The following is a 26912-nucleotide window of genomic DNA, read 5'->3' as shown; positions in this document are numbered from 1 at the left end:
AGTCAGGGGCAGCTTTTCTAGAATGACACAGATTGAGGTATGCTCCAATTATGAATTAGTGAAAAGAACTGCATGCATAGAAATGAGTGTATGGAGACTCTAAACTAATTTCTGGGGATCTGGAGCTGTAGGGCTCCCTTGAGTTTAGCAAAGAGGTAGCTAGTACTGTCTGGGAGATACCTGTTTTCAAATGGAACATGCAAGTATGAACCAAGTGAGAGAATACAAAGTTGCCTAATAACAGAAGACTGGAAGACCTGCTCACTTTCTTCAACTACATATGCTTTCAGTTTATTTCCCCAAAAATTTGAGGAGAGGCCTGCCAAATGATGTTGGGCTACCCCCTAAAGGGAAGGAATACAAATTAAGCCAAATTTTATTTAGATTTTTTTAAATGATGCTATTGTGTCAGATTACCTGGAATATACGGACTATCATTTTAACAGATAACTTTAAGTATGTTTTGCTTCCTATTACATGAATTTTATGTTTAAGGTAGAACAATTTAAAGGGAGATATGGTAAACAAAAGAATATTCTCTTTGCCTTTAAATCTTGTAATTATTCAAAATGAACCTGACAATTAGCTTTTTAAAATTAATTTGGGTGCCTGGGATGGAGCTGATGAGGGCATTGAAAGAGTGAATGACTTGCAAAATGTTTCTATTTTCTTACAAAAAGTATGTATTTGTGGGGGAGGTGAGTGAAGATTCACTCTTTATAATGTTATCTTCCTTAAAGATTATATATAAAAATGTAAATAACTATGTATTTGAGATAGTTCCTATGTCAGTAAGAAAAACTATATATATATATACATATATATATACACATATATATACATATATATACACATATATATACATATATATACACATATATATACATATATATATACGTATATATACATATATATATACATATATATACATATATATATACATATATATACATATATATATACATATATATATATAAAATGCAGAAATAGTCACAACAGAAATTGACTTAAATAATTACTATGATTAAACACTAAATTTAGCTTTGCATTCTCTGAAAGTGAAGGTAGGAAGACAAAGAAAACATAGATGCCAGTTCAACAAAGAAATTTTTTTGTTTTTCCTTGGCATTATGTAAGTGTTGAGTAAGTGTGTCAACAAGAGAGGGAGATATATATATATATATATATATGATAAATGATAAATATATATTATATATATTTTATATATATTTGATATGTATATCAAATAGAAGTTTAATATATGAACAAGTCTTATATGGAGCTTCCTAATTCAATCTTTAATAAAATTATCCTACATTAGATGATAAATCGTATAATTTTTAGATGTTATTTTTATGTCGTACCTTTCTCTTAAAAATTTCATATTGATTATTATTGATTTAATCTTCTCAGATAAGAACTTGAAAATTTTACCTGTACTGGATTCCCAAATCTAGTCATACACATCTCTTTTACTCTTCAACCTGATCTCTGTGCTTCAGTGAATATGTCTGAATTTTAAAAATTGTATTATAAATAATACTCAATATTTAATATCACCATTAAATATCTTATAAATAGCTAATAGTCAATTATTTTTTCGTTTATCTCTAAAATAGTTTTATGTTTTTTTCTTCCTCTGCCATGTTTATTTTCAAATTTTGACATACTTCTTTTAAATCTATTTTACCTCCTTCAGAACAAGGTTCAAAACTGCCTTCATGTAAGCTTTCTTGATGTGCCACATATCATTTACCTTTATAACTTTTTAGCTCTTGTGTACTTGTTCTCATCATAAATGGTTTTGCATGTTTGATAAAACGTAAGTTTCTAAAAATGAAAGTCCCATATGACATCTCTTTTGAACCGTATTTCCCATTCCCCCTCTTTCCTGAAGACTTCCCATAAATGTTTGTTGATTAAAATTTAGATCAAGCAATTTTAACTTGCACTAGAATAGTAGAACTCACATTTTTACTTCATGAGATTCTCCATTAGGAATGCTAAACTTGCTTCCCCATATAATTAAATACTTTGCTTTTCAAAGAGGCAGAGAAATAATTGCAGGTAAGTAGAAAAAAGGTTACTGACACAAAGACAAAATTAGTTTCAGAGTGGTCCTCTATCCAGTCAGGCAACAAGTTGCCTTGGCATGAAGGTTAAAAAAAAAGCTTATGAAGTAAGTGTATTGAATAATCCATAAACTAAATTTCTAAAGTTATCAATTTTTAAGTTAATTTTACTTCCATAATTTATTCAATACTTAAAAGTTATTAAATTCTAACTTGTACTCAAGTGTATTTTGCCACTCTAATGGTTAGCAACGCTGAATTCGAGTTTATCATTTTTTTAAGACATAAGAAATACAGTAAGTAATACTTTTGGTATGGACTTTACTTTTTATTTTTTTTTTTTAAGGATTGGATATCAACCTAACTCCTTGCTAAATGTTATTGGGATAGAAGAGAATTACAGTGCTTGATATCAAGAGTGCATAAATTTTTGGAAAGGCAAGATTTTCATAAAGTCATTGCATAGAAAACAAATAGAACACATTGATAAATATGATATAAAGCAAGTTTTGGCAAAATTTAAGATGTGTGATGTAAAGCAGTTGCAAAGGGAGTTAGGTACAATCACAGAAGTGAGGTGTCGTAACAATGACAACGCTGTACATAAGGCTCTGTTAAGTGTCGGAAAAGCAGATGAAAGTGGGTATGTTAGAACTAGGATAATTCCATGAGCAAAGTACAAGGATCTGAGTGATTGTGGTTGTCTGGGAAAGAGCAAGGAGTCTGGACTAGCTGCTGGAGTAGTGGTTTACCAAGGTGGGTCAGACCACAGGGTCAGGATACGAGGTAGAGAATCATTGCTGTGGTCCACGAGCTTCACAGGGGGCAACATGACACAAATGGAAATATTAAACATGCCCATCCCCCATCTCAACACCTACGTTACACGTATATTTACAAAAACTGCCATCAAAGCTTTAGCTGGATATGTATGTAGCAAAAAGAGTAGCCATAAAGACACATATGGTTTGGAGTCAAATATTTTTCTTTTTCCGAAGAGATCTGAACGGGGGAGGTAAGTTGAGAGTGATCATGGGAAAGTAACTGTTCTTGCTATAATGATGTAAAATACTAATGTAAATTGTTTAAGAGATAGCTTTAAACATAATGAAACAATTAAGATAAGGTTTCTGTTTCTTATTGAAAGTTTCCATGCTGTGTTTAAGAATTAGATTTTGCCCTAGTGAGGTGTGTGTTTACGTGTATGTATGTGTTTGTGGGTGTGCAGATAGAGATGAAAAATGGAGAGTAATTTCGGAAACTGAGCTATGTACCAAGAAAGATGATGAAAGTTATTTCTCTCAGTGTCATGCTGGAGCTGACTCCTATTAGCTGGCCAAAAAGCCCATTGCGCACATCTTTTCCCAATTCTGTATTTAGTGATAGCACATCCGTAGAATAAAATTGGTCATGGTGAGCGTACTTACACCAACCCTTACAAATCTGGGTTTATTTGGAAACCTATTTGTTAAACATTTACTATTATAACACTGTTCAATGGGCACTTTTCACTTGGACTAGGCTGAGAAAAGTCGTATTTAGTAGATAAATGTAAAACCATTCCCTTGAATATTGTAATACTGTCATTTTCCTTAACATTCTGTAATATCTAATACCACTGCACAATTGAAAGGCTGAGCTGTAGCTAGAAATGGGGAAAAGGGCAATGAAGGGACATGAAGCTCTTGGTAACCAATAGTAAGAGACTAAAGGAAACTGTTCATGTATCATATTCATTCTGGTGTATTATCTGGATGCTTCAATGCTGGCATGAATAAATAAACCCTAAGGCAAGCTGCAGAGAGTCCTTTACTCCCAGGCCTCTTCTCCCACCAGCTATCAGTGTCTGCTGTTTCAGGGTACACAAGGAAAGAGACACATATGAAAAAGAAATACATTTTTCTGCTCCTTAGAGTTCTTGGTCATGAAAACCAAGACAGTCATTATGTGCTCCACTGCGTATTTCTGGCTCTTCACCACAGCATTTCATGCCGGGATTGTATTTACCTGTCCCCATGTGATTAGGGGTAAGCAAAGCACCCCTCATGTGACTACTTCTGGCCAATGAGTTGTGAACATAATGGCATGTTTTATTTCTACGTTAGTGCATGTAATTTTTAGGATGGTACGCTCCAGAGATTCCTATTCATCTGACAATGTTCAAGATGGTGGATGCTCTATTTCTCTGGATCCCAGAGGCGCTATGATGCGTGGGGTCCCTCTGCTGGGCTGCAGTGGACATGAAGTATGAGTAAGAAGTGAAACGTAATGTTACTGAGATTTCATGATACTTTATTACTGCCCCATAATCTATCTTATTTAGACTGATGCTATTACCTGGATGTTTACTGCATATGAGAAGATACCTAGTTCAAATACTGTACTCCAGTCCTGATTAAGGGAAAAATGCTCAGCCCATGACAAAAAAAAAAAAAAGATTAGCAAAGATAATCTTCTGATAGATATAATTATGTCTCCTGCTTCCTGATGTATGAAACTTTAAACTTTTATTTCATAGAAACTTGGTATTCTATTGTGAAAAATCTCTCTAGTACTTTTAAAATTTAAAAAGTTCCAATATTCTGTACAGATAAAATGTAATAGATCATTTGACCATAAAGTTAAATATACAGAAATAGCTTTAAGATAAATAACTGAAGCAGATAGAGTATCACTGCCCCTCCCCCTCCTCCTCCCTCTCACCAACCCACCACTCACCAAATAGAACTATAGAATGTAATTTTGGTTTCAATTTCACTACCCATGCTCTGACCATTCCATTTCATATAGGTAAATATGAAATAATACAAAATAAGTGGAAATTTGTGGGGAAATTAACAACTATGATCAAAAGAAAAAGTGAAGAGATATCATTATTCACTATAATGAATGTAAAATCATAATTATTAATTTTATGAGGACATTTATTTCCTGGGTTGCTTTGGTAATAAATTATGACAGGCACTGAATTGGAAGTATCTTGATAAAATACTAGACTTTTAAAAAATATAACCTCAGCAGTTAACTAATTTTAATTATATATAAAAATATTTGGACTTGGCAAATTTTCTAAAAGTCAGAATATTCAGTTTTGTGCACTGTGCTGGAGACACAAAGAAATAAGATTGATCTGATTGCATTTAACAGATATAGGGGCATAGAAATTTATACAAGCATAATGCATTTTTTTAAAGTGAATATCTTTTCAAGAGCTTTATAAAAACATAAACCTGTTCAGGTGTCTTTAAATTATGCAGTTTATAGCTGATATGAGACAGCACATAAACTTAAATGTTGTTTCATCAGTCTCAAATATCATAGTATAAAAATCACAGGTTAATATGGGTTAATAACAGATTCTTTAGAGTAAGAAAGGCATATAGAATATATACAAAGGAAAAGGAATTTAAGGACCCATGGCTATGGCTCTCTCAACTGACAAAAATTAAATGAAATGTAAGTCTTATAATAATAACTCTTGTTTCTATCAGACCACTGGCTTCAGGGAGTTCCCAGAATTTGACAGAATTTTTAGTCAAAAAATCTATGAGTGATATAAAGGACATTTACTTTGTCTTGTAAAAAAAAATCGATGTATTTGGTAAAACTACATATGTTATGTGTGCATGTATAAATACAAGAATATTGTGGTTAAAAAAATAACAAATGTATATAGTGTACGAAACATAAGCTTTCCTTCAATTACACAGTCCCACAGCCACTGAGGCAGTAATTCCTGTTAGCAGTTTGGTATGGAACTTTTCCTACTATTATTGTGCCTCTAGAAACACATATAAAGACATATGCTTTTTGTTTTTATACATGTTTAAAACATATTTTTATACATTTTATATAAACTACATGTTTTACATATTTTCTGCAACATATTTTAACCTATTTTGAAGTAATCGTAGATCCAGGAAGTTGCAAACAACTTGCTTTTAAACTTAATATGATTGGACATTTTTTCATAAAAATATGTAAGATTCCATCATGTCCTTGTAACAGCTCAACACTGGTTAGTATTCATAAAATGAAGTCATAGTATGACTTGGCTACAATTTATTCAAACTTTTCCTTTTTGGCGCTCATTTAGATTGTTTTCAATTTGTCACGTAAGAAAGATCTGAGAAACAGCATTCCAGGTAGAACGAACCATAAATGCAACACATTTGAGTATCTTGCACTGGGGAAATGTGTAGAGCACTCTAGGAACTGACAGAAGGCCAGTGGGGCTGCAGAATAAAATGTGATGGACAGAGGGGTGTAAGAGGAGACGAGGACAGAACACGGAAGGCCTTGGAGATGGTGGGAACCCATTTAGGTATTATTCTAAGGGCACTGAGGGCCCATAAACAAGTCTTAAGCACATCATGAACACAATCTCCTGCAACTTTGTTAAAGCATAGATATGGTTCAAGTATGGAGAGTGGACTTGGGGACGGCAAAAGTAAAAAACGGAAAAATAATTAAGCTCTTCTTATTGTCTAAGCAATAGATAAAGGCTTGGACTCACGTGGTCAGGTGGTGCCAAGAAAGACATGAACAGATTGCACATTTATTTTTTGAAGGTGTAGCTGGCATAAATACATGAAATATGAAGGGCTAGGGAAAGAGAAAGGTCGAGAATTAATCTTAAACTTCTAACCTTTGTAATGGGTGGTGATGGTGCCATTTATTTGAAATATGGAACCACTGGGAATAGATTATGTAGAGTGTGAATGGAATGGATGGGTTTTGTTTTCAACATGCAAATTTGGAAATTCATCTGAAACATTCAAATAGGAAAGTTGGACATATAAATTTAGAGCTCCAAAAAGAAGTCTGAGTGAGAAATATAAATCTGTGAGTCACCAAAATATAAATGAGACTTTGAAAGTCATAGAAATGAATGAGATCACTAAGCAGAGGTAGAGTAAGTAAAGAAAAGTCAGCCCAGGACTGAGCTTAGAAGAACTTTAACATGAATAGTTATGAAGATAAGTATATAACAAAGGAAAATACAAAGGAATAAAGTGGTAAGTAAAGAAGAGCATGCTGTTCCTGAAGCAGAGAGAGGAAAGTATTTCAAGGAGAAAATGGTCATCTGTTTGAGTCATTGTTGAAAACCTAGTAAGGGAATATCAGAAAAACATCCATCATATTTGTCCACAAGTAGGCAATTGATTAACAAAGATTTTAGTTGAGATATGGTTTGGAAACCAATTTTGAAGTAGGTTGAGATAAACTGGGAAACAGAGTAGAAATTGTGTGTGTGTGTATAGTATGTATACTTTATGTGTGTGTTTAAAATTATATGTGTATATATTTATATATACAAATATATAGTGTAATTATATAATTACATATAATTTATATATATAATTATATATATGTATATATAATTATACATAATTATATATAATTGATATATATAATTATGTATAATTATATATCAGTATATATAATTATACATAAGTATATATAATTGATATATATTATAGTTATATATACTTATAGATAATTTATACATATAATTATATATACATATATATAATTATATAAGTATATATACTGATATATAATTATATATAATTATATATATAATTATATATATCTATTGATAATTATATATATTGATAATTATATATAATTATATATATTGATAATTATATATAATTATATATACTGATATATAATTACATATATAATTATATATACTGATATATAATTATATATAAATTATATATACTTTATAATTATATATAGTATGTACAAAATTTATGTAATCCCTTTTCTAGATTTGCTTTAAAATTATATATGGACAATATATTATTCATTACATATAGTATATCTACAATATATAAAATGTTATAAATATATTTTATATATTATGTATGTTATATATACTACATATAGTATATTATACATATTATACATACATTACTTATATATGCATATATTATATATTATGTATACATTATATATTATACACTATAAATATATATTTATATTTATATATTTTATTTATATTAATATATAAATATAAATATACTATATAATAGATAATATACACTATAGAATATGTTATATAGTGTTGTAATATACCATATAAAGTAATGTATAATATATAGTATATAATTTAATCCCATTTCTAGATTTTCTTTAAAATTACACATATATACAATATACTATATATTATATATTTATACTATATATTATATATAGTATAAAATATATAGACATATAATTTATATATTTATCTAATGATTTATATAATATATAATTATACATATTATATATTATACATCTATATATTATATAGTATATATTATATAAATTATATTAGATATATAAATTATTAGAATTAGTAAAAGGAAAATATATATATGCATATCAATTTAGTACACTTGCATAACATATGCTCCATTATATATATTGTATAATATATAGTGTGTGTGTATATGTGTATATATAATATAATTATATATATAAATATATATATATAATTATATAATTATAGATATAAATATAATTATATAATTATAGATATAATTATATATATAATTATATAATTTTATATATATATATAATTTTAAAGAAAATCTAGAAGTGGGATTAGATTGTACCTGACAGGGTGGAAAAGGCATAGGAGCATTTTTTTTAAACCAGGAAATGTATTGTAGCATGTGTTTATGATGATAGGAATGATATAGGGAGGAGGGGTAGGGATTGATGTTGGAGGAAGTAAGTATCTGGGGAAGTGAAGTCTTTTAGTAGGTAAGAAGGAATTATATTAAATAGGATGCCCATACTTTCTAGTTTCCCTTTAATAGTCTCAGTTTCCACATACTGAATTGTTATTAATAACCTCTCCCCTACTCTCACATACACCTGGAGAGATCAGTTTCTCTAGTATACAGGAGGGAAAAAGGAGAAAATAGGCGCAGAAGCAGGTAAGAACATCGTTTTCATGGTGGGAAGATGAGAATGTCTCAATCAGAAGACTTATAACAAAAGCTGAATTTAAAATTCAATGACTAAGATCTTCTCTTCACATCATCCCACCCTATGGAATCCCACGGACTCTATGGGTTCGGTTTGAAAACCAGTGTAAGCATGGAAAACATAGTCTACTAAATTCAGTGGCTGTGGTGACCAGAGGAAAATGATCATTGTCTGTATTCTCTAGCCGTGATGAAGCTTTAGCACAGTGTGGCAGGAAAAGCCAAATGCTTCTAGGAAAATAGGTACCCCAAGGATTCTGTTGTATTGTAGTCTCCCAGGAGTAAAGTGCTCATCAAATCTCTACCCCGGAGTTTGAATAAGTTTTACCAGCATATGAATTCATCACAGTGGTTCTTACTATTAAGTCATTATATGTCCTTGAATCTACCTTTAGGGCATATATTTAAACCCAGTTGAGCTCTTTTAATATATCTCTATTGAGGTATAGACAGCATAGCAAGTACTTGTATTTATTTTACCCTCTTGGCAAGAATTCCTTACATATGTTATAGAAATATAATTTTCTCAATAGATGCTGCTTTAATTTTTGTAATATGAAGTGACACAGTATACTGAGTAAAGCCTTTTCAGCTCCTTACAAATAATGTGATTTTTGAGATATACTATTGGGCCACTCCATAGGAAATGCTATCTACAAAACATTCTCTCAACACGTAACATATAATCCAAAAGATCTCCAAATTGCAATGTTGAATATGGGGTACAACTGTTTGTTATAAACAGCATTGTCTTTTTTAGGCTGTTGCTTCCATTTGTGAAAAGCAAATCTCTAAAACGTAACTAGGGACTTAGAAAAGTAGAATTTCAAAATTGCCAAATGTCTCCTCGTTGCCTTAAGGTAGAAAGGAAAAGGAAGATGTAACAAGTTATGACAGCGGATAACATATGTTCCAGTTGTCTATTGCTGTGTAATAAAACCACCACAGAACATAGTGAATTAAAATGATAATACACTATTATCTCTCATTGTTTGAGGGGTGACTCAAGTGGTTCTCACTTTTGGTTTCTGATGCAGTAGCTACCAGATAGCAGCCAGCTCTGGAGCTGACTGAGAACTTGACTGAGCAGCCAGTCCGGGATAGCTAATTCACATAGTGTACCAGTTATCAATGTATTGACTAAGCTCCAAATTCTCCCTTTTTGCCTGCTTTGTGAAATGCATTTAGGTTTTTAAAGTGTTTTTTCTGTTTGCCAGATGGCATTGGAGTCTGGTCAATAGAAGTCATTGGAGAGCTATTACAGGAGAAAAGGGTTTTGCTTTCTAGTTCCAGTGTTGCTTACTCAGTAGTTTTCTACATCAGTGCAGCTTCTCCAGCACCTGAATCCTGCGGTGCATGCTGATCTGCAGCACCCAGCAGCAGCAGCTCTGCCCAGCACACTTCTTGGGCAGCTTTGTAGTAGAGCACCTCTGGTGAGACATCTCCCTGTGAACAGCTTTCCCTGACTCCTTAGTATCAGATTTCTGACAATTTACAGACATTTTCTGTCATTCAGTAGCTATGCTTTATTCAACAAGGACTGGATCTCAGACCAGCCCAGGTTCAGGGGGCAGGAGGTCTTGGGGTCTTGTTGGGGGTGTGGAAGCGGAGATCCAGCTCTGTTTTTGACATTCTATCTCAATACCAGTGGTAATGATTGTTCTAGATTATACTGTATAATATGTGCTATTGTATTTTATATTGTATCTGCTATTCCTATATCTTTATATTTTGTTTCATACTAGTCAATCCCGTACTACTTCAATCCTGTGAAACTTTCCAGGTTCAAATAATTGTAGGGTTTCTCTTTCCTGATTGAACTCATCCTGATACACATGTCCAGAAATTGATGCTGGCTTTCAGCTGGGGGCTAAGCTAGGGCCAAAAAGAGAGCCAGTACATGGTGTATCCATGTGGTTGGAGCTTTCCGTGGCATGGTGGCTGGGCTCTAAGAGAGCTTCTTATGACCTAGCTTGAGAAAACCAAGAACATCACTTCAGTATCCAGTTGGTCCAATAAATCACTCATGGTAAAAAATTTCAAAAGGAGAGAGGTAGCAAAGAATTTGACATCACATTAATCGCAGCTACCATAACATACAAGATTATGTATGGTAGATATTTGTATATAAAGACATCAATTTAATAAAATTGTTCATTCATCCTCTGATTGATTTATTCTTTCAATAAACATTACCAACTATCTTCTGTTTGCCACATCTGTGGAAATTCTTCCGGAAATATGAATGCGTTACAAGACCTGATTTACGTCCACTGAGCTCTCAACATTGTTGGGAAGTAAAATTCCTGCCTATTTAGAGATAAATACAAAGTGTACCCCAAAGTGTTAAATTGAACATAATAAATTGCCAAAATGCATAAAATTGCAGTGAAGCCCAGAGCAAATCCCAGAGGTCCTGATTTGCAGCCCAGTCTTTGGATTTACCACAAACAAACAAACAAAATACAGTATCTAATTGAAAATAAAAGGTCTGGTTGTAGAAATATTTTAGAATAGGCATCCATCATTTTGCATGTCACAACTATGTCAAGAAGTCCCAAGAGAAATTATTTCTGTGAAAATATTTTCTTTTCTTTGTTAAAAATTGTGTTACCATCTCCATCAAAAAATAAGAAAAATGTGATTAGAAGTTTCTCTTGTATATAACTGGCATCCCAACCATATCCATTTTTGGCAGAGCCATATTTTAAGGACTTTATCATCTTCAACTCAAGAGCCTGAAGAAACTAAGATTACTACAGTGGGTATCAGCAGTTTTGGATGTGTAGGAAAAACAAACTGCATTGCATACCTAAAGACAGAATGCCAAGCAACAAGAAGCATATTTTTAAGTAACAAAACTAGAACTAAAACCGACAAAAAAGGCTATTTAGCTTTGCAAAAGCCATTATTTTCTTTACATCTATTCTAGAGAGTAATTAAATTCTAAGCAGCATTAGAGTTCTTTCTCACATCATTGATAAAAAGACTTGGGAAAAGTCCTATCATGTGATCTACTTCTAAGTGAGGAAATAAAAGGAAATTGTAAAATGAGAGTCTCACCTGAGACTCCTGTTAGAAATGAAACTTCTCTGAATGAAGATCATGAAATCATCTTCTAAGGAAGCAACCTGAATTCCACTCAGGGAATTTGCTCTAGGAAACCTTTGTAAGGAAGGCGAATTAGCATTTAAAGAAGCTCTTTTGAGTCAGAGTGCAGAATGTCACTAAGGAATTATTAAATTCTTCTGCTGTGAGCCTTGGTTATGAAGAAAAGTGTTTTCCAATAAAATAGGGTAACACACTGAGCTCCCCACATGCATCCTGAAACGTTGGCTAACATCACATTGCTATAAATGTCAGTGTTCTTTCCTTCTCTTCTCTCTTTTTTCATCTCTAAACACTCTCTACCTCTTGAATGTCTTAAAATATCAAATTCATTTTGAGTCATTACAATACTCAATTATTATGTATTTCCCTTCATCATTAAGGACGGCACTATTTTCAGAAATAAAGCCTGAATGTTGGCTTCAAATAAGCGTTCATTCAAATTCTAATTAAATTACTTTGCTGAAACCTATTTGAAACAATTAGTTATTGGAGCCAGCAGTAATCAGAGATTACACATACACCGAATATTTGTGCAGTCCAGAATTTTGAATAGGTTATATATAAAAATATAATAAAGATGACTACTTAGGAGGTATTAAAACAAGGAATTTTTCCACTTTAAACTGGCATTTATAGTGAATGTAACTTCAAATGTGTCCAAATCTCCTGGGGTGTGTGTGTGTGTGTGTGTGTGTTGAACGTAAGTGGAAAAGGTGTAAATGGGAAGGAAAAAATGGGTAAGTAGACTATGTGATATGATTTTGGGAGCATGGTATATTGAAAGAAAGAATGTGATGGTGGTATAATGGCACTTGTCAAGAGAAAGTCCCTGAAGCAGAAAAGTGTCCCCATGCTCCCATCATCATTTAACCAGGCAACTCATTCCATTTTTTTAGAGTCATTCAAGTTCCATATCATGATGGTTGCAGAAGTAAATTGATGATTCATTTTTATTTTAATGTTGATGTTGAAGAAGCTTATCAATTCCTTCCTTCATTCTTTGGGCTCTCCAATTTTTGTCTAGCCCTATTTTCTTAGCTATATTAGTTAATACAATATAGGCCAAACTGGCTGTTTAAATACTGAGAACATTAGAAATCATTTTCTTAATATGATTTTAAATGTGCAAATCTTTCTGGCAAGAATGAGTTTTTGAGCTAGATAATTGAAGAATGAGGAACACTGATAAAAAATTAAGAGGACATTTTCAGGAAGGACATTAAATATGAGTGAAGATGCAAACCACAAGTTTTTTACCAAACTTGTTATGATGTAATTAGCTCATTTATAAAATACTTTATGGTTTTATTTTCAAATATTTTCTCTTCTCTTCTAGATCTAACCTTTTGTTAGTAGAATAACCCACACAGAATTGGCTTGCATCTTTAATGCTTAACAACCACATTAGAAAATATCTCCCCTTCTTGCTTCTGCTTATTGCCTATATGTTTGTCTACCATTGGACCATTTCCTATAGCACTGTAAGCCTCTGAAATTATCCAGATGGATGTATATCTAATTGAGATCAATTCTGGGTCACTTAATTATGGCCTTCAATAATATTCCATAAGAATCGAGTGTCATAATGTGAAATTTTATCATAAAAATTTCTTCTACTTCTCACATTTTTATAAAAATCCTATACATATATTTTATCCATTCTCTTTTTCCATTAAAAGAGTAGAGGAGCATAGATAAAATTAAGAGGATATTTTCAGGAAGAGATAAAATATGACTGAAGATGCAAAACAGATATTTTGCCAAAGTATTGTGATATAATTAGCTCTTTAATGAAAGACTTTATATATATATGTGTGTGTGTGTGTATATACATATATATATATATAAATATATATATGTATATATTTAGGAGAGAAAGAACAACTCTTACATATACAAGAATTCCTTGAGTTAGTTTCCATGAAATGCATTTCTATACATTTTTCATCATGGTTGTCATGTTGCCTGTGTAATACCTGACTATCTTACCAAGTGGTCAAGGACTTCTCTCTACCAAGTGCTTTTCCTTAAGTAAACATCAAAAACATTTTTAATTTAAATACAGTTAGCCATGATGAATTTGGGGATTTTTCTACCTCATTTCCCTGAATTATTCTTCAGTTATAGTCACTCATGGACTTTCTGAGAATTGCCCTTTCTGAAAAGGACAACTGTAAACTGAAATCTCCAATCGAAACTTCTGCCTACAATGCAAATTTACAAATGGTGCAAACTACTACTCCAAAGTTCACAGATAATGTGTGATTAGAGTGATTTATGTGAATGTCTCACACATCCAAACTCTGTTGCGAGTCCAGAAAATGATGGAGACTGATTTGAGGGGACGTGGTGATACCTTCAATACAGCTATTTTCACTCATAACCAAATCAATGACCGTCACCATTTTGTCTCCTCATTAAGTGGTTGCCACTTTCCTTCTTTTAGGCTCACAAGCTAGAATGAAAGCTGACTTAAAAATCAGACTGTTCAAAGCTCCACATTATAAAAATGCACTGAGTCAGCAATTAGTAAACAGATTATGTAAATAGAACTCCTGAACCAAGTGCTGACATTTAAGTACCAAAGCTTACCTAGCCTCAGGCTCTTCAATTTATTGCAGCAGACTGAAATGTAGACTGCTAAATCATTTGTTTTCAGGTTGTATCATGGGTTTATCAGAAACTATATTAGTTTGTCCATGAAAACAATTTTCTCACTATCATGTTGCCAGAACAAAAAAAAAAAAAAAAAAAAAACAAGGAAAAGGAAAAGAAAAAGAAAAAAAGAAGAAAGATCTTTGAAACATTAAAATCAGCAGCTCTCTGTAGACACAGTATAAAAAGCAGCGGGCTGCAATGTAAAGGTGAGCTGTTCTTAAAACATTTTTTGCACATTTCATACAGATTTCAAATTCTGTGACCTCAAGAGTTACTTTTTCTGTGGTTATAGTATTCAGCTGTGTCTATGTGTCATCTGGAGCATATACATTCTTTTCCTTAAATTTATTTTGGTTCATGAAAAACTATAAATCATCTACCAGGAGCCTGCATCATAAAGGGGAGAAAAAAAGACATTTTACACCATTGACTCCCCTCACTCCTTTTCTTTCCTTAAAACCCTAAAACAGTCTATATTAACAATGGGAAACATATTCTTTAGCTAGAGAGGAAATGCCTGCTTCACAAATAATGATTTATCATTTTAGAATGGAAAGCTGCATTAGCAAACAAATGAAAATGGCTAAAAGTGTAACCACTTTGCCTGGCAATTATATGTGTGACAGATTCATTTATCTACCTGTGTGGAGCTTTAATTTGCACTAGCACTTAACAGTTAATTGTTGAAGGGCACTTTTCTGCAATAAAAGTGGGCTTTTTTTCAGAGTACCCTGAAACGGAAAACACTTCTAAATAAACACCTATGCCATTAATTATCCGATCAAAACAATAATGAAAAATGCCAGAGAAAAGAGATAACAGAAAAAAAGTAAAATACCATTTGTGTAAATAAATTAAAACATCAATTATTGAATGATTAAATGATATCATGTTATTTTTGGACCAATGGATGAAGTTTACAAGAAACTCTTGCAATAAACTTTCTAAAAATCCTTCACAGAAAGACATAATTATACTTGTTTATACTTAAGAATTGAAATATTATTAAAATACAACCCAAACCTTACCATTGTTTGGAATATTCAATATTCTTCTCTTCTTCAGTTTTCTGTCTTATGTACATTTATTGTCATACTTTTCAATATATTTTGGGATTTCTTTAACTATTACTTGATGAAACTCTCCAACATAAATAAATTAGTGATAAAAAGAGGGCTTGAAATTTAATTGTCATTAGCAGCTTTCATAAAAAGTTGGGGCAAGAATTTCATAAATTCTAAAATTGTTGATATATCAAGTCAATAAAATCATAATAGAAGAATTTGGATAAGATAAATTTATATTTTAAAGTTTCATTATATTTTATCAAGATTATTCAAGATTGGGCTTTATATCACAAGCTTCTTCCTAGTTTTTAGGAAAACCCCTAGCACCTTGCATTTTAAATAGCACTTTTCCTAAATATTTAGTTAGTGACTACCTTAGGGGAAGAGGAAGAATTGACAAGGTATAAAGGGATAGTTTGGTAAAAACAAAAGAAAATAACAACAATAAAAAACCCAAGGCCATACAATTTGAACATGAATGCTCACTTCAAATGATGTTCTGAATAATCATAGGTAAATAACTTCTACAAGGCTCGATGTCTTCAGCTTTAAAAAGAGAATACTGCTTCCTCAGAGGATGTGTGTGTGTGTGTGTGTGTGTGTGTGTGTATGTGTGTTTGTGTGTGGTGAAAAATGAACTGATATTCCAAACCACCCAGCACAGTTAGTTCCTGGTCTCTAACTATTGCTCGATACATGCAATTATCATGGCTTTCCTCTAACTCTACGTACCTTCCTCAGATTTCCCTCCTTTAAGATTTTCCAAATTCAACCATCAGATAAAGAATGGTTTCTATGAGCCAGGAATTTATTAAGTTTTACAAAGATTAATAAACCATCACCACTGTATGCTAAAGACTGTCAAATTGTCCTTCTACCTGTCCGCTTTCTTCCCTGCCTTTCTTCCTACTACTTCCAAGTGTATTTTCATAGATCTTTCCAGGAACTGCCAATTATCTCCTACAGTTTTGCCTGTCAGTGAGTAAGAAGCAGCCTCACTGATTTCTCATATATTCTAGGTCCTCTTCTCTTGATCCAGTGCTTTACAAGAGCAGTCTCAACTCTACCATTCAGTTGTTGCCCTTTGTGAGTTATGCTTAGCTCTGATCCCTCCTCTGGGGCAGATAGATGTACCAGGTGCTCCAACGATCAGAGATGGATTTTTCTTGCCCAGAGCCATTACATCAAAAGCAGAATCCAAAGTCATATCTAAGGAACATAGGGGAAGGCTGTGAATGTCCACTTGAGGATTTTAAAAAACACTACATTTTCCTGCTATTGAGATATCTTTTCCTCTAAAGCAAGCTATTACTATAAGTCCTCAAAATGCAGTAGGTTTGTATTTCCATTCATTTGAGCTTTCTTATTGATTTTACTCTACCGCTTCTTGATTAGTAATATGTGTATTTACTAAACTGTGCTTTATTTTAAAATACAAGATATTCTGACTGGTTAGAACCTAGAATATCATCTAGAATAAGATACCCATTTTGTAGTTCTAATTTTACTATGAAGAAATTGAAGATCAGAGAGACAAGTGAGAAATAAAGTATGATTTATTAAATATCTAATTTGTACAAGACAATAGACATTTGTCCTATAGAAATCATGACTTTTCAGATGAGGAAGCTGAGGCTCATAGTGTTTCTGGAACCTCTTTAAAGTCATAAAACTTGACAAACTGCTAAGCGAAAGAACTTCAGCAAGGTTCTAATATTAAACTATTTTTGACATCATCTTTTGTTATAGAAAAATACCTTTTACTTAGAGAGATGAATTGTCTTCAAATATTCCAACTAGTTAGAACAAGAGGTAACATTTATAAGTCAAGTCTGCCATTCTTCAATCTACTGCTTATACCACCATGCCAAAATGCCTAAAACTTTTAATCCTGTGATAATTCAAAAGTTACAACCACTATATAACATATTCTAATTTCTCTTGATTATTACTCTTTTTTGGAAGTTATTTTAAATCTTAAAAAGATATATCTATAGAAAATATGTAAGCATGTTCCTTCTGTCTCTCATTCAGCTGGATATTTTACTAGGTTACAAATAAATAAAAGTAGTACATCTTGAAAAATGTTTTAAATACAAAAATGAACAAAGAGTGAAATGTAATTCCATACACATATACTTATCCACTTATATGATAGTATTTTTAGACAATCATGATAATGAACACATATCAATCATTTGCTATGTGCCAAGCACTATTCTTTGCACTTAATATAAAATGTATAACTGAATCTTTATGACAATTATGTGAAATATTTACTGTTATTACTTTATTGATGCCAAACTGAGTCAAAGAGAGGTCATGATATATAAATAGGCTTCTAAAAATTGCTCTTTAACTTAACTGTATTTTAAAATCATTCTTTCAAGTAATACACTAATGGCTACTTTATTTACAGTATGTTCAGCAGAGACCATCAGCTTCTTACCAGTATCTGTTATCCCTTTGTCTAAAGCAATACAATTTTTAGTTGGTCAAATGACCATTTAGAATAAAGACTACATCCTTGCTGTTAAGCTTGGCCATGTGACTACGTTCTGACCAATACCATGTAAACAGACATTTTTTCTGCAACCCTTTAGATCAGGGTTGTACAATCTTTTGGCTTCTGTGGGACACATCAGAAGAAGAATTGTCTTGGGCGGGCCACACATTAAATAATCTAACACTAATGATAACTGATGAGCTAAAAAATAGCAAAAAAAAAAAAAAAATCTCATGTTTTAAGAAAGTTTACAAATTGTGTTGGGCCACATTCAAAGCTGTCCTGGACCACATGCAGCCCACCCCCATGGGCTGGACAAGCTTGCTCTAGATCTTTTTTTAAAAAATACTAAGACCCCCTTGCCCCTTTTTCTGCCTCGTACATTGTTCCATTCTACATCTTGAATGTGGTTACTTCCCAGCTGGACCATGAAAATGAGGAGCCATATCATATAGATGGCAGGCAGTGAAACGGATAATCTGGGTCCCTGAGGGCTTCGTGAAATAGAGATGGCATACTGACACTCAAATTCACATGACAGAGAAATATTCTTCTATTTTTGTATTATTTAATTTGTGTGTATGTGCTTCCTTATAGTTAAATTCAATTTTAATTAAACAGTATGGATGAAGGAAACTTCCCCAAATATTCCCCTAATCCTGAATATGTAAATTTATCTTCAGGTTTTGTTATTCTGCTAAAAAAAAAAAATACGCTGCAGTGACTATTCTCATTTTTATACTAATATCATAGTATTCTAGTATTCTGCTATTATAATAGTATTCCTAAGAGAGATTCCCAGAAGCAGAACTGCTAGGTTAAACAGCAGGCAACTTTTAAATTTTAATAGTTCTGCCCTTCAGAAGGTGGTACCAAGTTCCAACAGTACGTGAGATTAAGCTACCTCCTACAGGCTTTCTAATACTGCATGCATCTCTTTTTTAATTTGCTTTCATTCATATGCCTCTGACAGATAAAAATTCATTCCATTTGTTGTTTTAAATGTATTTGTCTAATCACTTGTAAAATGCAACACATTTCTTATGTTTGGATATTTCTACTTCTCAATCTGTGAATTACCTATTGAATTCTTTGGCGGCTTTTATATGAAGTTGATAAGAGCTTTTTTACTGACAGAAAGCTATTTAATATTTACTAATGTGAGAAATGTTTATGTTTTTTAACTTTATTTCTTACAATGTTAATTACTTGAATTTGTATTTACATCTTTTTCTTTATAGCTTCTTGTCAAGCTTAGAAGAGAATTACAAATGATGTTCTCCTATATTATTTCTGAGTAAATTAAATTTTGTTTGCAAACAGACATAAATATATAATTGTTTTTGGCATAAGGAGTAAGACAGTGTTCTAATTTTTTTTGAATGCATAGACATTTGTTCCATCAAAATTTACTGACCACTACACCTTTTCCTACAGATTTAAAATCCTACCTATAATACATTTCAATATCTAGTAGAAAAAGTTCCACCTGCATTTGTGTTTCAATTTTTTCTAGGCTATGCTTGAATAATAATAAAATTTGAATATATTATTTTACATTATCTAAATGTCTTCCTTTTATTTAAAACACTCACACTAACAAATACCTTATTAAAATCTATTGACTTTTACAAGAATGGCATTGAAAAATGAAGCAAATGCTTATGTAATAAGTAGTTACAGTTAGTTGTTTTATACAAAATAGGCATTCCTGAGACAGCTACCATAAGGGCCTCTTTTTTAATATATATATATAGTTCTACGGTACATGTGCACAACATGCAGGTTTGTTACATAGGTATACATGTGCCATGTTGGTTTGCTGCACCCATCAACTCATCATTTACATTAGGTATTTCTCCTAATGCTATTCCTTCCCCCGCCTCCCACCCCGACAGGCCCCTGTGTGTGATGTTCCCCGGCCTGTGTCCAAGTGTTCTCATTATTCAGTTCCCACCTATGAGTGAGAACATGCGGTGTTTGATTTTCTGTCCTTGTGATACTTAGCTAAGAATGATGATTTCCAGCTTCATCCATGTCCCAGCAAAGGACATGAACTCATCCTTCTTTATGGCTGCATAGTATTCCGTGGTGTACATATGCCACATTTTCTTAATCTAGTCTATCATTGATAGACATTTGGGTTGGTTCCAAGTCTTTGCTATTGTAAATAGTGCCACAATAAACATACGTGTGCATGTGTCTTTATAGTAGCATGATTTATAATCCTTTGGGTATATACCCAATAATGGGATGGCTGGGTCAAATGGCATTTCTAGTTCTAGATCCTTGAGGATTCGCCACACTGTCTTCCACAATGGTTGAACTAATTTACACTCCCACTGACAGTGTAAAAGCGTACCTATTTCTTCACATCCTCTCCAGCATCTGTTGTTTCCTGACTTTTTAATGATCGCCATTCTAACTGGTGTGAGATGGTATCTCATTGTGGTTTTGATTTGCATTTCTCTGATGACAAGTAATGATTAACATTTTTTCATGTGTCTGTTGGCTTCATAAATGTCTTCTTTTGAGAAGTGTTTGTTCATATCCTTTGCCCACTTTTTGATGGGGTTGTTTTTTTTCTTGTAAATTTGTTTAAGTTCTTTGTAGATTCTGGATATTAGCCCTTTGTCAGATGGGTAGATTGCAAAAATTTTCTCCCATTCTGCAGGTGCCTGTTCATTCTGATGGTAGTTTCTTTTGCCATGCAGAAACTCTTTAGTTTAATTGGATCCCATTTGTCTATATTGGATTTTGTTGCCATTGCTTTTGGTGTTTTAGTCATAAAGTCTTTGCCCATGCCTACGTCCTGAATGGTATTGCCTAGGTTTTCCCTATTAAATAGGGAATTCTTTCCCCATTTCTTGTTTTTGTCAGGTTTATCAAAGATCAGATGGTTGTAGATGTGTGGTGTTATTTCTGAGGCTCTGTTCTGTTCCATTGGTCTATATATCTGTTTTGGTACCAGTACCATGGGCCTCTTATAAGGGCCTCTTTTAAAAAAAATCATCTAATTCATCATTTTACCAGAGTCTAGGGCTTATTCCTCAGTTTTAAACTGTAATCTTGTTAGTTCCCATCATTTGTGGGTACATTTTCTAGATATGCCAAAATATTAGTAAGGGAATCCTTGCAGTTTAAGTCTTGATTGGGCTACGGTAGTTCTTCTAAGTGGGACTATATGTTCAATAAGGAAGCATTTGATCAGAGATTCCCCTTTGCTGTTGCCTCTTTCCTCAGTTTCCAGCTTCACTATCCTTATATAGAGTATCCACCCAGAAAAAGGGTACTGGGCAACTTCTCTGAAGAAAACTGCAGCTTTATATGGACACCCCATTTCCACAGTATGTATTAGCCCGATCCTCTAATGCCTCCTTTCAACCCATAGTAGAACAGAATAGGTAGTTTTTTCATACTACCTTTCATATTGAAGAGTAATATCTGGGTTTGATTCCTTGTTCTGTTATTTACTAGCTGAGTGAACTTGAAATTATTTGTGACTCCTTTACAATTTTAGTTTACACATCAATAAAATGGGGATGACAATGTCTACTTTGCCAGGCTGTTGAGAGTATTAAATAAAAGAAAACCACACATGCCTCCTATAGTGCCTGACATAGATGACACCCCTAACAGATAGCACACGTTCATATCACTGTTGATTATACATCTTCCAAATCATCTCTCTTATCAGAAACTTGGCCATAGACTCCCAGTATTAGTCTCCAGAAAAAATAAGCTAAACCATTCTATTATTACAATAAGTAAAATACACATAAATAAGGTATAAACAAAATTTTGAGCTTTCAGTAATGTATCTTTGAGTCAAAATTGTTTAATTTTTAACGAAGGTTTCAAATACTCAAATTTTATACCAATGTAAACATTTCAAATTCAATAACTAGTCACATCAAGTAAACCTTACTCACTTCTATAACATGCTACTGATATTATACCAAATTTTACAAAGAAAAAGTAAAACATACACTTCTTATTTTGATGGCAGAGTGTATTTTTGCCAGAAACTTGTATTGATTTGGAAACAGCATGAGATCCTAAATAGAAAAATGTAGCTTCAAATAGAAAGGTACAAGTTAGAGAATTTGGAACTGAGTCATTTTTGAGATTTTAAAAGGTGCTTTTAAACAATGTATTTTAATCATACGAAATGATTCTCCTAAGATTTAAATATAGGAAATTTGGAACTTCTAGTTAAATATATGCATGCAAGTGACTACTGAGTTATTCCAATTCCATTGTGTGAATTGAATAGATAATATACACTTGAATAGATCATAATACTCTATGCAAGTTCACCAGAAACTAAATCAAGTACCAGACGAAGCACTTCAAGCATTTCTTAAAAATAAAGAATATTGGAAATAAACCACAGGGACAAGAAAAGAAAGGATAAAACACATTTACTCCTTAAAGATATAAGTGGAAGGTTTTTTGTATGTGAGTAGTACAAACAACTTGGGTTTCCAGATTTTCACAGGAAAAGAAAAATATTACCCACAAACAAGACAACTTGAGAGAAAAGCATCAACGCTTATATTTTTCTTTTAGATATTGCATAATAGTTAGCGTATTTCTGAGGAAATGGGATTTTGTTTCTTGTTTTATCTTGTACAATTTCCTTACTTGAAAAAGCCTTCAAAAATCTTTTCATTTTAACTACTTACAAAAATTACAATCACCTATAATCTTTGCCCCTGTTCTTCTCATAAGGTTAAGTTCAGTTCAAACTATTTATATAAGCCAAGTCAGTATTTCATTGTCCAGCTTTTGCCTATAAAATCGACCTGTGTGAGTCCCTTTTGTAATGCATGTCAGAAGAAAAATACTATGCCCAAGTTGTTACTTTCAATAAGCACACTGTTTAAAAAACATCTTCATTTTGCTTTGCAAAACTTCAGTTTGTATTTAAGGTATTTCTATTTGAAGGAAGAATTACCATATTAACATGTACTTATTTGAGCCTAAAACTCCCTTGAGTATTGTCTATCCCTCTACCCTCCACATCTTGGTAAAGCCATTGCCTGGACTGTGCAATGGACACCAAGAGGATTGATTGCCGTAGATGTTGCCTACTCCCTTCTCTTTCTACCCTTACCCCCAAGCCCTCCCTCACCCCCACCCACTGCTGCCAGATTTTTTTTTTTTTTTTTTGAGATGGAGTTTTGCCATTGCCCAGGATGAAGTGCAGTGGCACCATCTCGGCTCACTGCAACCTTTGTCTCCCAGGTTCAAGCGATTCTCCTGCCTCACCCTCCCGAATAGCTGGGATTACAGGCCCGCTACCAAAATTACCAATTACCTGGCTAATTTTGTATTTTTAGTGGGGATGGGGTTTCACCATTTTGACCAGGCCGGTCTCAAACTCCTGATCTCAAATAATCCAACTGCCTCAGCCTCCCAAAGTGCTGGGATCACAGGCATTTGCCACTGCACTTGGCCAATCTTGAACCCAGTTCAAACCTTCTCATTGCTGTGGAGTTTTAAGACTCCTGATTCTTTTACCTCCCCTGCTGACACACACACATACACACACACTGCCTAAAGGATGGAGTAAAAACTTCTTAGCATGGCACAAAATGTACTTTTCGCCACATTTCCTATCACTACCTCAGAGACAAGTCTACGCTCAAACTGATCTGCTTATTCTTCCCCAAATACAGCTGGCATTTTCGTATCATGTCTTTATCTGTTTACATTTCCTGAAAGGTCCTTTTTAATTTATGCATAGCTTTCTCTCTGAAAGTTTCACAACCACCAGGAGGCAGTATAGTGTGCCCTTTCCTATCATCTCTAATTGCATTTGCTGATACATGATTGCATTGGTCATAGATGTTTTTATATCAAAACATTTGTTGCATCTCCCTGATGAGATGGTTCTGGAAAGACTTCCTATTCTAGTGATGACAGGTTGGGCCATGAGATCTGCTTCATCTAACAAAATGAAACTGGCATGGGCACTTAACACTTCCAATCAGAAGATCTGGCAGAAGGCAAAGGTATTTTTCTAGTTCTCAATTTCCCCATCAGTAACATAGGACAAATAATAAAATAAAACTGAAGGGCTTGACATAGTTCTTAGAATGTTGTAGATGCTTAGTAAGCTTTTAAGTATTTTGTTAACTTGTAAGAATAATCATTTTCCAAGTTTATTAGAACACAAAAGAATAAGAGCATTATATTCAAAGATTAAGTAGAGTAATAATTCTGTGTGACTATTATTTTCAAAGCAAATTTAGTGCTTCTAATAATTTTTAGTTAGGTGATCTCATCAGACTTTATAGGAAAATTGGCAGGAAGAATAGTGGACTGGATCTCTAATAAAATAAATTCTGTAAAATAGCAGCACAGAAAAATTGAATTCTTCCCTAACACTGCACTTGTATTCTATATGTGAGGATATATGAGATGGGCCATCCTTGAGAGACAACACAATCTGGTTGGCATTTACCTTTACATTAGTTAGTGATATTCATTCACTAAATGCTAACTTTTAAGGTTGAAAAAGGAGACCAAGCCAAGTTGATCAGCTCTGAAATCCACTATTCAAAATAATTTTCAGCTTTAAGACTGGCAGTGTGTTCACATAATGATTTCATGTGCATTCAACATCTTCCAGAGAGCATGCATTATCTAATCTTCGTAGAGCCAAACAATGATGAAAAGGAGATAAAAAAACATAAACTTCTTTGGCTCTATAATAGAATTCATCACCTGAACCAAGGTCATGCTAAGCAAGAACAATCCTTGTCCAGAAAACAATAAAGCCAACTTATGAAAAATGTTCTTGAGTTCCAGCATACGATGAACTGTAAATCACTATTTATGAAGTATCCAATTTACACTGGTATTCTATATGATGGTCATAGTCAATAATAAATAAAATAGTTTGAGAAAACTCATTTAAGTTTTTAGCACTAAGACACATAATTCCTATTTTAAAATGGAAGAGTCATTGATGGAGTTTTTATATATGTAACTCATTTACAAGATGCATATACATATTTTTGTTTTGTCATATAATAAATTGAAATTTCATGCCATCAAACGTGTTTAGAACTGATTGGAACCTGGATTCAAAAATTTTGGGTGAAATTAGTTTTTCTCCAAATAGAATGAAAATGCTTACTGGTTATAACAATAAATTTACTGAAAAATCTATTAATCTATACTCCAAATTCAATAGAGCATACTGCAATTACAAAAATATTCCCTTTCATTCTTCCTATATACAGAACCAACAAATAGTATTTTATTTGTGCATATTTTTTATCTTCACTGTTCTTGACTGAAAGACTAAGGACAAGGATTAATGCAGAAGTATTTCTGTTATCTTGAAAGGATATGGGTGGAAAAATTAAGCGATCTGAGCCGAATAGTTTAGGAGAGAAAATGAGATTGTGGTGGTTGTGTCTGTGACAAGAGAACCCTCTTAATGATAATACTCTGAGATTTACTTAGAGAATGCCACTAGAATAGGATTACCCTGGATGGGATAACACACATTACATCATTAGCATTCACTCTCTGCCCTCTGGTGGTAGATATTACCAGCTGACTAGGATGGGATTAAGGTTCTAAATCAATCAGCAATATTGATGATGTATAATGTTTCTGTCACAGTGTTTATTAAAATGAATGTATATCAATATTAAAATATTTCATTTTCTTTTAGTGATACTTTAATTTTGCAACTGCATTATTCAAACCACTAGCATAAAATTGCCTGGTTGGAAATAAACCAGGAGATCTAATTACAGCCCCCAGATGCAGAAACAGTCTTCGACTTCCTAGTAATCTGTTCACTGTAATCAGGTGGCTTTGTTGTGCTTATCTAGAAATACAAAGAATTTGAGAAAATCAGTACATTACATAATTGCTGCATTTATCTACATTTATCTGTTGTATTCTGAACTACTTAATGCTGGACAATTCTGCTTTGAGACATTAATTTTTCAGACATTGCGTTTGTTCAAGCATTAATTCAATGTCTACACTGCTTTGTGTACCACACATATAATTAGTAGCACTTTGCCAACCCCCTTTAACAAGGAAGGCCTCTTATGAGAGCTTTGTGAAGCTTCTCATGTGATATCATTAGAGGATGGATCAGAACTGTATTTTACAAACTCCTGTCAAAAAACACCTTTCTTACTGTTTTGTTGATGAGCGAAATGCCACATTGTAGATTAATTTCCCTGATTTATCCCCAACATTTTGGTGGGTATATATCTATCTATATATATATGCATATGGTTGGGAAGAATGTGAACAAAATCACACATTTTCTTTTTCTCGTGTTCTTTTGCTGTCATCCTCCTTTTGCCTTGTCCCCCAAAACAACGTATGATTCCCTTTGTACACACAATCTGTGCATGAAATGACTCCTCTTTACAATAGACAGGACAGCCTAAGGGCTGTGAATGTCTGTGGAGTTTTCTGCAGCCAGAGGCTAAAGAAGCAGCATCTCAATGGGGCATAGAATAACTAA

General features: G+C 33.0%; 1 long non-coding RNA gene across 1 annotated transcript in view; it reads right to left on the bottom strand.

Annotated features, from left to right (window-relative positions):
• LOC107985978 (uncharacterized) overlaps positions 1 to 26912 on the bottom strand; it is a 77592-nt gene that overhangs the window by 38165 nt on the left and 12515 nt on the right. The gene's annotated exons all lie outside the window — the stretch shown is intronic.

Source organism: Homo sapiens, chromosome 2, assembly GCF_000001405.40.
Source record: "Homo sapiens chromosome 2, GRCh38.p14 Primary Assembly".
In the NCBI taxonomy this organism is placed as follows: Eukaryota; Metazoa; Chordata; class Mammalia; order Primates; family Hominidae; genus Homo; species Homo sapiens.
The sequence above is the reverse complement of the archived record's forward strand: the minus strand, read 5'-3'. Positions and strand labels throughout refer to the sequence as shown.